Source organism: Homo sapiens, chromosome 1 (assembly GCF_000001405.40).
Source record: "Homo sapiens chromosome 1, GRCh38.p14 Primary Assembly".
NCBI lineage: Eukaryota > Metazoa > Chordata > Mammalia > Primates > Hominidae > Homo > Homo sapiens.
The window spans coordinates 186,966,056-186,980,762 of record NC_000001.11 but is presented as its reverse complement, the minus strand read 5'-3'; the positions used below and the strand labels follow the sequence as shown (position 1 = coordinate 186,980,762).

The 14,707-nt window shown below is 35.0% G+C and overlaps 1 protein-coding gene across 4 annotated transcripts in view; it reads right to left on the bottom strand.

Annotated features, from left to right (window-relative positions):
* PLA2G4A (phospholipase A2 group IVA) overlaps window positions 1-14,707 on the bottom strand; it is a 160,033-nt gene that overhangs the window by 8,219 nt on the left and 137,107 nt on the right. For all 4 annotated transcript variants that reach the window (XM_011509642.3, NM_024420.3, NM_001311193.2 and 1 more), the window contains 2 exons: window positions 2,975-3,170; window positions 1,291-1,448 (listed from right to left, as the gene is read on the bottom strand). In XM_011509642.3, coding sequence (XP_011507944.1) covers window positions 1,291-1,448; window positions 2,975-3,170 — 354 coding nt within the window. The remainder of the gene's footprint in view (window positions 1-1,290; window positions 1,449-2,974; window positions 3,171-14,707) is intronic.

Sequence of the window (14,707 nt, the reverse complement as noted above, 5' to 3'; positions counted from 1 at the left end):
TTAACAAATATATTATGGTGCAACTGTGATGATTGCATACAGTTGATATTACTAGTCTCAGGCCAAACGAAACAAGCAAGCAAACTAGATGTGTGGAGTTCTATTAGCTCACAAAATCTAATTAGAGCCCATATAAACAGAACACTCATTCACATATTCTGAATTCCTTTGCGCCATTTACACAGTCACCAAAAAGACTGGTAAATCAGACATGATGCCTTTCCTTCTCCATTTAATTTCTTTTTTTCTGTTTTTCTAATGTACAAAATCCAATTAGGCCACTGAACTTAAGCTTTTACAACTGATAATCATTTGTCAGACACTATGATTTGGAACCACAAGTCAATGATTTCAGTTACAGAATAGTGTTCCTATATGGTAAGTTAAAAATGAAAGAATTTCACCTAGACACAGAATCTTAGCAGAAGATACACTAATGATAGGAAGGATTGATACTGAAGACAATGATTTGTTTCTAAAGCAAAGCATACTTGACATCTCAAAGGCTAAAAATTGGAAAGGCTGGCCGGGTGCGGTGGCTCACGCCTGTAATCCCAGCACTTAGGAAGGCCGAGGCGGGCGGGTAACGAGGTCAGGAGATGGAGACTAACACGGTGAAACCCCGTCTTCACTACAAACACAAAAAAATTAGCCGGGCGTGGTGGCAGGCGCCTGTAGTCCCAGCTACTCGGGAGGCTGAGGCAGGAGAATGGCGTGAACCTGGGAGGCGGAGCTTGCAGTGAGCCGACATTGCGCCACTGCACTCCAGCCTGGGCGACAGAGCGAGACTCCATCTCAAAAAAAAAAAAAAAAAAAAAAGGAAATGCTGTTACGTTTTGTGATGCTGCTCTCAAATTCACAAAAAGAAAATATGTAAAATCATAAATGTATTTATTAAAATTCATGTTATATTTTTGCAGATTAACTACACTTCTGGTTCCATTCACTTTCATACTCATATTTCCTTTACTCATATTTCCTTTTCATCACTTTTCTTCCTTACTTATAATTTGTTATATCATATAATAAATACATAGATACTTCGGGAAAGAAACTGAGTATTAACCAATCATTCAATAAAATAATAGCATAAAATGAGTTTCCTTATTTGTCAGTTTTGTAGGGTTCTTCTGAAGATTAGCAAAATATTTCATGAAAAGTAAAGTGGCATATTTTGGGTGGTGTCATTCATAACACTTATTTTTTTATTTTTAATTGAAAAGAGGTATTGGTGTATTTATACGGTATGGAAGTCATTTGACATAGTCAATGGCCATAGGAGATACTTACATCAATGTTGTTCAGAGTATTGAAGTGCATAAGATCATGTAGTCTTTTGAATGCTTGATTTGGATATTGAAAATTGAAGGTTGAAAATGGTGATTCTGGGTCATCAAAAATATCAAAGTCAGCGATTTCTTTCTCTTCCTCAGTTTCCCTTGGAACACCTAAATACCAGAAGAGTCACAAAGGGTGTTATTTTGAAAACTACAAAATATCTCTAAAACCCAAGGAATAAAACATACAGACATAAAGACAGCAGTGGGAGTCCCCACAGAGCCAGGTACTCTGTAGCATCTCTGACTTTTATCGTGTCTGTGTGTTCTGGCCAGATGACATCCAACTGCCAATATCTGACATCTGTGTGCCGGAGGGCTTTCTATCCTGCCCTGCAACTGTAGAAGCCTGCTTGACCCACTCACAGCAGGCTGGAAATTCTGTTAAATAACACTGTTCCCCAGGCAGTGGTCAACCAAAGACTCTAGGGAGTTAGAATCTAAATACTCCATTCCCCTGCCTTTTGGTGTGCGTGTGGGAAGCATGATTGTGGGACACAGGTCTATTCCATTTTGTAGTCTTTCCCAGCGGATCAAGTTCCCATTGTGGTAGCCGGCTTGCTAATGCAACTTTGTTGTCTGCCTTCCTTCCCTTTACCACTTCCCCATTTCCTTACTAATAAACTAGAGTGTTCCCCAGCTCATCTAAATAAACTATTTGCACTTGAGTCCTTTTCTCAGAATTAGTTTCTGGGAGAACCCAAACTAAAACATTATGTGGCTGTCTTTATGCCATGGAAATCCCCTACACATGCCAACTGCTCAGTGAGCCTCTCCTTGAGAATTCACAGTGATAGAAAATTCACTGGGTTTCATGTGCTCTAGTGTCTGATAACTAAAAATGTCAGATTTCCACCTTCTCCTATGCTGAACTATATGCTTCACAATAATCTTCACTCCTATCAATTCTTTCTTTGTCTTCCTGAGAAATCTAGAAAAACACCATTTTTCTCAGCATATTCCCATTACTCATCCTCCCTATTTTTTGTGTCTTTCCATTTATAAAATGGAAAACACATTTTCTGGTCCTAAAATATGGTTTTTGGAGCCTTAAGCACCCTGCATGTAAATCTTTAGATCTCCTTTGGTTAATCAACATTTTCCAGGATACACAAGAGTCGAGAGACCCCTCTGGATATGGTTAAAAAAATAAAACAAAACAAAAAAGACTATGCCTCAAACTTGATTCTTGTTTTCTGTGAAATACAACATGGCAAACTGAAACTGCTAGCCATTGTGTACTGCTAGATTACGTTAATCTTGTAGTCACGTAAAATTCCCAGAAATTTGCATGATTTTTCTGAAATAAGGGCTTTCTTACAAGGGTGATAGTCAAAATATTTGATTAAAAATCAATCAGAACAAACATAATTCAAAGTATTGAAGTAAAGTCCCAGAGATTTTTGCTAAACTGGTTGTTGACTTTGCAGTTTCTGAACTGTGAGCAAGTCAGGGGATCTTGGGGTAAGAAAGAGGAGAAGTACTTGAGGTCTCAGAATAGTATCTATTTATCAAGGTAAGGGAAGCATTCAATAGTGTAATAGCTGGTACAGCAGTGACAGAGTGAAACAGTTTAATGTCAGTTTCGTCCCCTACTTAATTTCTATTTTATGGAATACAGCTTACTCCCTACTTACCTGGAGCCCTGTACTTTCTGAAGTTGATGTTGGCCAGAACAAAGTGGATGATGGTTGGGCAATCTTTCTCCATATCAGGATTCTTGGGTTTAAAGACATAGCACTCCTTCAGCCCTTCCCGATCAAACACATAAGGATCAATCTTTGGAAAGGGGAGCTTGTTCATTTTAGCCCACTTTTCTGCAAGTAGAAGTTCCTATGGGAAAGATGGAAAGATGAATTTGGAAATTTTCAGTTTTCATTGATTCAGTTGGTCTGACCATAATTCAGTGTTCACTAGGTGTCTACTGTGTGCCAGCAATGTACTCCTTGCTAGGATGAATCACGACCCTGTTCTCAGGAAGTTCATTAATTTCAAAGAAATTGAAAACAAACTCACTATTGTTATGTTAATTCTTGGCACAAGGCTAGCTCCACAGCAGGCATTTGAAAAATTATTGATAAACTGAACTGAGCAAAATTATGTTGAAGAAGCTGCTAGAGAAAAAAAATTATGGGTTCAGAGAATTTATAACCATGTGAAAGTTTTTTTAACCCTTAGGAGTAAAAAAGGAATCTGATGATGCAGAGAAGAATCCTGTTACTGGATTTTTACCTGTATCATCTCCACCAAAGTGTTAAAAAGTACCAGCCAAAACTTCATTCATTTTATGTATACAAAAATATTTGAGTTACTCTGAATCAGCTTTTTGTCTTCTTTTTGTGAACAGAAGTTGAACCTTTGGCCTCAGAGCATTGCTATTACATGTAACGGCCAAGAGAGGACTGTACAGATGTACCAAGGGCTTAGTTAATGGTCGTGGCAAATTGTATGATGGTTTCCATGTATTAGCTCCCTTCCTGGTAAGCTGGTTATACATTCCCGCCAGAATGAGAAGAGAAATAGAACAGAGCCTCCACGGGTGATTTATGACTGCTGGCATGTAAGTGGCCAAGAAATACGTGTTCGCAGTCAGCTACGGAGATTCGAGGTTGGTTTGTCTCTGCACCAAAGCAGGCTAACTCACTGGGGTAAGCACCCCCAAAATTAAATTTAAACTGGAGAACATAAATCAATATGGAGAGATGCAGTGAAGAGACCTCATTTCCATTATGTGCATCTTCAGGGAGAGCAGAATAAATAAGAAGCAGAATATCATAGTGGGAGAAGCACAGATTCTGGGACCAGATGCCTGAGTCCAAATGCAAGCTCCATGGCCTTGGACATGTTTCTTAAGTCAATGTTTCCATCTCAGATTTAAAATGTGGATGATATAAATAATACCTATCTCATAGGGTTGCTATTAGAATTAAATAAATTAATACTTTACAGTGCTTAAAACAGTGCTTACTACATATTAAGTGCTATGCAAATGTTTAATAAATAAATGCCAGTAAAGAGAAGAAAAGAGATGGAAGGAAAAAAGTAAGGAAAACAAAAGAGGATAAAGAAAGGGAAGAGAGATAAGAACATTAGAGAGGAAAATTCCTGGAAAGGGGAAGTTTTGGGGATACTGTCACTAGAATCTTAAGTTCTTTTTAACTACTCTTGTCATCTCGTTGATCCATTCCACAGCAATCAATAGTGGTCGACTAGGTTCCATGTTAGAAGTGGGGACATAACAGTGAGTAAAACATTCATGGTTTTTGTTGTTATGGGATTTATAGCCTGTTGGGCGAGAGATAGCAATCAAATAACCCTTTGTGCTTAAAACTGTGATAAATGCCAGGAAAAAATACAAGGTGAGACTTTGCAGTACACCTGGACAATTTCCTCAGAGTATTTGTTAATTCAGCCAACAATTATCAGTGAGTTATGTTCTAAGCATAAGAGATAGGCTGTCCTTGAAGATTTGGAGTTTATAAATCAACAGAAAAGATAAATAGATATTATAGAAAAGTATGATAAAGGCAGGAAGGTGCTGCACGATTGTGGGCCTGGGTTGTGCAGCGTGAAAGGCCCAGCTCTAAGACAGACACCCTAAAACTTGCTAGCTGGATGACCTGAGACAAACTAATTAGACACCACAGCTCAACAAGAAACAAATTATTTTTGGTGGCTGCAGTGTACAGTGATACTCCCCTACAGGCAACGCAGAGATAATGAGGAACGAACAAACACAGACTAGATTATTCACTATCCCTGACATAGCAGGCTCCCAATCCCATCTCATCTCTATTTCATCTGTTTCTTATTTCTCAGCAATTCATTTTTCTACCTCTGTAAAATAAAGCTAATACCATCGCCTTTCTCATAGGATTGCTGAGAGGATTAAATGATAAAATGTATAAAGACCTCAGTAGTTTACATTAGAAGAAAACAAGTACTTTATCATACAGGCTTACATTCAGAGAAAAATACACTTTTCATTGAACTTTCACTGCTCTTTTTGCTTCTGGAATGTCATGAATTTTATGTTGATCAACTCTCTCAACACCACTTATGAATAAAAATCTAGGAGAACAAAGGATTTAATGTATATGAAAGCATTTGCTTCATAAACTATTATGATAAATACAATTACATTTCACTGAAAATCCCATATGTATGTAAATAATTTCTTGTTTGAAACTTGAGAAAGCTTTTATCACCAATCTCTTCTTTTTTTCCCTCTATTCAGCTAAATTAATCAGCTTGTTATTTCTTGTCCAGCACTGTTCACAATTATTCACTCGTGATTATTCAACATCAAAATAAACCAAAAGTTCACATTGTGGAGCAATTGCGTGAGGGCAAAGAAAAGAAAGAGCTTTCTAGTGTTTACAAACATGACTCAAGGGTATGACCAGTGATGTGTGGATTTTGGGGTAAAATGAAAAGGGAAATACATGAGGTAACAGTGAGGCTATTTTTAGATGGTTCACTTCACGCTAGAATCAGGAAGAGATGGAAACTTTCCCTTTCCTTATGTGATCCTGATGTGGAAAAGATTAAAAACAGATGATTGCAAATACAGTGATTATAGCATGGATAAACCATTTCCTCTCTGATGTCTGGTTTCTCTCTGTAAAAGCTGAGAAACAATGACACAGACTATGAGTAAAGTGCAATAGTTTTTAGAAAGTATTTTAAAAGATTTCAGTGAACAAAAAAATTGCTGCTCCACAAATTACAGCGATATGCCGGAATTGTGTTCTATGATAGCTATCCATTTTGGTTATTGTTTGACACCTCAGATACTTCACACTTCCATAGACTAACTTAAGATAAACTTACATAGTATTAACTAAACTGACTTTCTGTGGGATAAAAATTTGACAGTATCCTTCAAAGAGATACTTCGTAAGATGTCTGTGCTCATTTTGGTGTTTTGTTTGACAGAGTCTCACTCTGCTGCCCAGGCTGGAGTGCTGTGGCCTGATCTTGGCTCATTGCAACCTCTGCCTCCCAGGTTCAATCGATTCTCCTGCCTCAGCCTCCTGAGTAGCTGTGACTACAGGTGTGTGCCACCACACCTGGCTAATTTTTGTATTTTTAGTAGAGAAGGGGTTTCACCATATTGGCCAGGCTGGATGCCCTCATTTTTGAGTACTGAAACACCACTAAGAAGACTTGAAGGAGAGGAATGACAAATAAATACCATAGAAATGAATATTGTAAATAAATGTTATTTGTAAATAACAGAAATATATTCAAAACACAGTATGATAGCATATATATGCCATTTCATTCATTTACATGTAAAAAAATATAAATATATATTTTAAATATATGAAACAACACATTTATTTATTAAAATACGAACACACATACATATATACATAAAATAATAAATTGACTTGTCATTAGAGGAAGTCAGATTTCTTTTGTCTCTATGCAAACCAAGAATATGTGCTTTCTATTCTACAATGTTTCTCATTACATAAAACCTATTTTTAAGATTAGGGAGAAGATTAGGGAGAAGGATGGCATATAAGCATGTAGGTAAACCTCCAGAATCTTAAAAAATTATTGAAGCAAGTAATATAAAATACAACAGATAGAAACTACAAGTTAGAATTAATTATTTTACAGTTATAGTCTCTCTTACTTTTAATAAAAGGCATGCTAGTATTAGGCTTCAAGAGCTTTATAATGCAATAGGCATGAAAATAATTTTCTATATCTAATGTTGTATAGAGTTTACAGAGCACTTTTTAATTCTGGTTAGTTATTCACAGGGATGTTACCATAAACTCACAAAATACGTAAAGGGAAATTAATGTCAACTTAATGTAATATCATCACAAAACATCTGATTCTCAATGTGAGTGACCAATATGAGTGTAGTGGGTTGAATGGTGGCTCCATATAAAATACCATTTCCTAATCCCTCGGCCCTGTGAATATGACCTTATTTGGGGAAAGACTCTTTGCAAATGTAATTTAATTAAGGATTTTGAGATTAGATCATCTTGGATTACGTAGGTGGGCCCTAAATTCAATGACAATTATTCTTATATGAGATACAAGAGAAGACATGCACACAAAAGAAAAGGCCATACAAAAATGAAGGCAGAGATTGGAGAGATGCAACCACAAGGCGAGCAATGCCTGGAACCACCAAAAGCTGGAAAAGGCAAGGAAGGAGTCTACTGTGGAGGCTTTAGAGAGAGGACATCCCTGTTGATGCCTTAATTTCAACTTCTGCCCTCCGAAACTGTGAGAGAATATATTTCTGTTGTTGTAAGTCACCATGTTTGGGGTAATTTGTTACAGAAGTTCCAGGAAACTAGTACAAGAGATAAAACTGGAAGTACTACATTAAATGCTGTGCACTTTCCTTCACCAGCCATTGTGGATTGGTGCCCACAAAGCTAATGCTTGGACTGATTTGGCTGTGATGTGGGCCAACCTAAGCATTATAAGTGAATAATATGTGGAGATTCTAAAACAGGTCATGCCCTCGTTTCAACAAATAAATCAGGTGATTGTGGAAAAATACAGATACTTTTTCCGTTTTTAGTGGGTTTAAATGGAATTCTGACCCTAAATGAAATGTAGGCAGATCAGTTTAATTTAGATACATTACTTCCATCATTTGTGAAGACTGCCTCATTTCAGATTTTCCTTTCTTCTTTCTTCCTTCTCTCCTTCCCTCATTTCCTCTTTCTCTCTTTCCTTGAATAATTTTTAAGAGAATTAACCCGTTGTTCTGGCTTCTTGTCATTAAGCATTTAAATGAGCACTGAAAAACTGAGCCAGATTTATGTCCAACGTATGGCAACACAATATAACTTAATTTATGGCATAATAACTAAAATCTATCACTCTCCCTAAAAGTTAGTAAGATAAAGGGGAAAATAATTTCAAGTAGTAAACTCTGAATTCTTCTATATTCCTTGCTTTCTTGCTCCCCGACAAAACCCAAAGTCCCTTCATTTTCCCCTAAATTCACAGCCTCTTAATTTTGCATGCTTGAGTATGAAGACTTTGGCTTATTTTCATGACCAACAATCAATCTCACTGATTGTCTTTGGATGAGCTCTAATGGTACACTAAATTTTCATATTATACATCTAAGATATTAAATGGTTAACAAAAAGAAACTTGACAAAATGAAACACAAAGCTGCTTTTGTTAGATAAATTAATAGTAATAATATTTAGAATAATGAACTCTTTATATTGGACTACTACTAGGTGTGTGCTAACTAATCTAAATAAATTAGTGTCACACTGATGTCATTAACTTTCAAGGCCAGTTACAACACAGATACAACAACATAAATTGTGGTTGCTTTTATCAAAAGACATGATCTCCATCTTTCTGTATCTTCTTGACAAAATATGACATTTAACTACACGAAGTGCTAGAATTTTCTGCAAATGTGAAATAAAGTCAATAGTTCTAATTTTTTGCCCAGCATTTATGCTCTAATATTTTGTGAAAGGCAGTATCCATATTTCAGTCTCAAAAATAGGAAATTATTTGCTATTTAATTACCTTAATAAAATCATATTGCATATATCCAATTATTACATTAGGGATTCTCCCCTCCTATCAAAAGAACTTTATGTAGACTCCTCGCAAATTTTCAAATCTTATTATGTTATATATAAAACAAATATTCTACTTTAGTATTGATAGTATAATATTTTTATCAATTTAACAATTCTACTTTGGCAATCTTTTAGACTAATTTAGGAATACATATTTTGATAACAACACTTATAGGTTTAAGGTACTTTTAATATTCCAACTCTGCCTGAAAAGATTATTTTGTTTACTTTGAACTTGCTGAAGTACATACCTAGAGACAAGAAAAACTATATTATGTGTAATATATTGCAATTTACTTTATATTAAGTGTCAGAAAATATAATTCATTATTTCCAGAATGGTAGGTTTCATGTTATGCTAAATAAATAATAAAAGGAAGTATATAAATTTGGAGAAAGGCACGGGAAGAAAAGAATTGACAAAATGATTTTAAAACACATCTAAGAGAATGCACAGGTAGAAATGCCTATATGTACTACAGAAGGAGTGATTGGAGACATGCTTTTTATTATAGTAGGCACATAATAAAGCTACAGTTATTAAAATGCAGTATGGTACTGACATAAGAACTGCAAGATTGTCAGATGGATTAATGGAACACAAAAGATTAAAACAAAATATCCTTGTGCCCTGTAAGAATCATATAGTATATGATATAATAAGTATAACAAAATAATGCCAAAAAAGTCTATGGGGGATTATGTTATTACAAAGGCAATGTATTCAAAAAGATTAATGAGTTAAATATATTTAGAAGAATAAAATAAAAATTAAAATATCAATCCACATTTAACTGATGTTGGTAAGAATGAATTTCAAGAATATACTACCCAAAGCAATCTACAGATCCAATGCAATCCCTATCAAAATACCAGTGACATTCTTTACAGAAATAGAAAAAAAAAATCCTAAAATTTATATGGAACCACAAAAGACCCCAAATAACCAAAGCAATCCTGAGCAAAAAGAACAAAGCTGGAGGCATCACATTACCTGACTTCAAATTATACTACAAAGCTACAGTAACCAAAACAGCATGATACTGGCACAAAAACGGACATATAGACCAATGAAACAGAATAGAGAACCCAGAAATAAATCCACCCATTGCAGTTCAACTCATTTGCAACAAAGTTGCCCAGAATATATACTGGAGAAGGGATAGTCTCTTCAAAAAATGGTTCCGGGAAAACTGAATATCCACATGCAGAAAAATGAAACTAGACTGCTGTCTCTTGACATATATAAAAATCAAATCAAAATCAATTAAAGAGTAACATCTAAGTCCTAAAGCTATAAAACTACTAGAATAAAACATTGGGAAAACACTCCAGGACACTGATCTGGGCAAAGATTTCTTGAATAAGACCTCAGATGCACAGGCAACCAAAGCAAAAATGAACAAATGGGATCACATCAAACTTAAAAGCTTCTGCACAGCAAAAGAAATAATCAACAAAGAAAAGAGACGAACCACAGAATGGGAGAAAATATTTGCAGACTATCCATCTGACAAGGGATTAATACACAGAATATATAAGAAGCTCAAACAACTCAATAGGAAAAACAATCGGATTTTTAAACGGGCAAAAGATCTGAATAGATACTTCGCAAAAGAAGACATACAAATGCCCAACAGGAATATGAAAAAATGTTTAACATCACTAATCCTCAAAGAAATACAAATTAAAACTACAATAAGATTCAACCTTACCCCAGTTAAAATGGCTTTTATCCAAAAGATAGGAAATAACAAGTGTTGATGAGGATGTGGAGAAAGGGGAACCCTCCTACATGGTTGCTTGGAATGTAAATTAGTACAGCCACCACAGAAAACAGTATGGAGGTTCCTACAAAAACTAAAAATAGAACTACCATATGATCCAGTAATCCCATTACTGGGTATATACCCAAAAGAAAGGAAAATCAGTATATTGAAGAGATATTTGTACTCCCATGCTGATTGCAGCACTATTCACAATAGCCAAAATATGGAATCAATGTAAGCATTGATCAACAAATGAATGAATAAAGAAAATGTGATACCTACACACTATAGAATATTATTCAGACATAAAAAAAATAATGAAATCCTGTCATTTGTAATAACATGTCAGGAACTAGAACTAGAGGACATTATGTTAAGTTAAATAATCCAGGCGCAGAAAGACAAATATTACATGCTCTTACATGTGGAACTAAAAACAGTTGAATTAATGGAAATAGAAAGTATAATGATGGTTACCATCTGCTGGGAAGGCTAGTGGAAAGGGGAAATAAAGAGTGAATGGAAAATTGGTACAAAAATACAGTAAGATAAAAGGAATAAGATCTAGTGTTCAGTAGCACAATTGGGTAACTATAGTTAACAATAATTTATTATATATTTCAAAATAACTAAAAGAATGGAATTGGAATGTTACTAACACAAAGAGGTGATAAATGCTTAAGGGGATAGATATCCCAATTACCCTAATTGATCTTTCCACATATGATTGTATCAAATTTGACATGTACCCCATAAATATGTACAAGTATTCTGCATCCATAATTAAAAATAAAAATTTAAAAAACTGATATGAAAAAGAGAAAATACAGTGAAAAAAATTTTTAAAATTATAAGAAAGAATAAAAACAATGGAAGAAGCTCCTACATAAATATTTGAAACAATAAAATCATCAACAACAAAAGTCCCAATACAAATGACATATTAGGTCATATTTGCAAGAATAAGACAAACTTTAATATTCTTAAGACATAAAAAGAATGTTTATTAATAGGAACATCACAAATAATCCAATTAAAAGTAGTTTAAAAACATCAATATATAATAAGCATGACAAACCATTCAGTCTCACAAAGGAAGAAAACTGAAGCATAAATGTGAGGTTTTTTATCCCCATCATATTGTATAAATTTTTTTTTACTTCGTCTTTAATATTTTTTCCTGCCAGCAAAGGCATGTAAAACAGAGACTCAAATATATAATTAGACATAGTAATGTAAATTGATGAAGCTTCTCTAGAAATCAATCTGAAAATATTTACTAGAAGTCATAAAATGATACACATCTAGAAACCAACCTAAATAAATAATTAAAATGTGATTAAAGATTCATGTGCAAGGATAATGATTACAGAAAAAGGTGGCAAGATAGCAATAATCTAAAAGTTGAAAATAGAGCATTGTTAAATAAATACGTATCTGTATACAGAGATAGTATATATTTTTATTTTATTTTATAAACATCTTATATATCTTTTATATTTACTGTATTATATGTCTTTATAATTGTTTTCTTAAATATTTAATGACATGAAAAAATGCTCATAATACAGTTGTAAGTAGAAAGAGACAGAATGCAAAACTACATGACCCTGGTATAGACACATACACACACACACACACACACACACACACACACATACACACCGCGAAAAGAGACTAGAAGAAAATACCAAAATATTAACAGCTGTTGTCTGGAAGTACTGCATTTATAAACCAAATGTTCATACATTTTACAAGTATCTATTCTTAATCACAAATAATGAGTCAACATTTAAAAACTACTGCCAAGTATAATGATTCTTTTTAAAGGTACAAAGTGATATTCCAAAACCTCCTCCAACTCATTAAGGTGGTGGAGCCCTGATTCACATGTAAAATGATGGCTTTGACATTTTATACCCCCATTGGTGAAATGAATAATACAGTGTCTTCCACCACTAGACCAGCTTCTAAGCTATCATCTTAGAGTCATCCACTGAAACCCACCTCCCCATTGTTTCTCATAGGTCATCAAATTCATAGTCACCCACTCTGGTGCAGTAGTACTTCATTATCCTATGGTTGGATTACAATACATGTCTCTTAATGTTAATTCCTTGCCTTCCATTCTCCAACTCATCCTACTTTCCATTGTCAGATTAATCATCCTAAAATTCCAATTTCATGAAGTCATTTGTCTGCTGAAATCCTCCACTGATTCTCCATTTCCTATTGTCCTGTCTTAAACTCTCTCCTTAAGCCTTTCTAAGGGAGCTGAATATCTGTCACTTCTAATCAGATCACTCCTGCCCCTTAGATGTGCTCATTGCCATCTCTGTGCTGTTCTCACCCTATTTCATTTATTACCCTGTTCATTAACTCCAGTATGCACCAATCTATTCTTATATTTATCCCCTATAATACACATACTTATGTAAACTTATGTCAATGACTATTTAATAGTAAGTTTCTCAATTCCCCTCCAAGTGGCTCTTGTGAATAAAAGTCTTTGCCCCAAAAAACCAAAATGTTATGGGAGATCAGGAACTGTATTTTCCCACTAACTGCTGCACACAGCACACTACACAGAAAAGAGTTCATGAACAGTGTGCACAAAGAAGGCAGCTGGTAAAGGGTAAGAAATTCTCATTCTGTAGCTTTGGAGTCTGGTCCCATCTCACCATTTCTTAACTAGCACTTCCCTAGCCAGGTCGTGGGCTGTGCTCATTCCACATATTATTTAATTTGTTGATAAGATTTTATCTCATTGATACTTGTTTCTTTGTCTGAATACCTTTACTACCCCAAAAATAGATAAAGTATGAAAGCACTTTGAACATGTAAGGTTTTCTATATATTTAAGAGTTATTATAATAACCATTATTGGTCTTGAGAGCAGTTTAATCATCATATGATAGAGAAAAAAACAGATATGCTGTCAGAGGACCTGACCTGGGCTATCACTGATTCCACCTGGTTAGGAGATCATGAACTGTTCCATTTAATTATTATGAATTGCCACTTCTTATTCTATAAAATCAAAATAATAACTCCATCTCTCTCATAGCATTTCATTTATTCACCTACAAAAAAATCCTACATACTCATATTTTGGCCAGTACCTAAATGACAATTAGGACCAAATGATTAAAACAAAATAAACACAGACAGAGAACAGAGTTCTAGTCACAAGGAGCTCACAGACAGTGAAAGCAATATATATGTAAGCAAAAACATACAACATACTATGATAATTGCTGTATTAGACGAATTGACTGAGTCCTATGCACTTTAACCATATATGTGGAAGTCAAGAAAGATAACACTTGAGCTGTGTCTAAAGAATGTTTTGAGTATTCCAGGCAGAGGGAACAAAGCGTGTTTATTTGAGGGTGAGGCCAAAGTGCAGCCCAGCAATCTTTCCATATTGCCACATTCAGAAGCTTTTCTCTTTTCTTCAACACAGGCGGACTTTTATTTACCCCACATGCCTGACTCCACTACCTCCATATTTTTATCCTCACAAGTTAACCTTGACTCCTAATTCCTATAAAACTTCGAAGTCATCACATGAATACTTCCTTAACTTCCTTTTTCCATACCTAATGATAAATCTTCATCTGCTGCCATTTTCCCCCAGCGTAGACATTTCAATACTGTTCCCCACTTGTGTCCTTGATTCCTTTCCCACTTCCCATCCCTACATCCTTCCCAGAGATGTGACTTCATCCTATATCTCATCTCTCCTCTCTTCAGTAATACCTTCTTCATTAACGACTCCTAGCCATCAGTATGTAAACATGCTTGTCTCTTCTATTAACCCACCCCCAACCACCCACACACACAGTTTTCCTCTTCCCCACATCCTCTTACAGATACAGTCCATCTCCTTCCCTGAACAATCTACAGAAATGATGTCTTTTTTTTTTTTTTTTTTTTTAACTTCCACTCATCCCTCAAACCACTCTGGTCTGATTTCTGCCCTCACAGCCCTATTGAAACT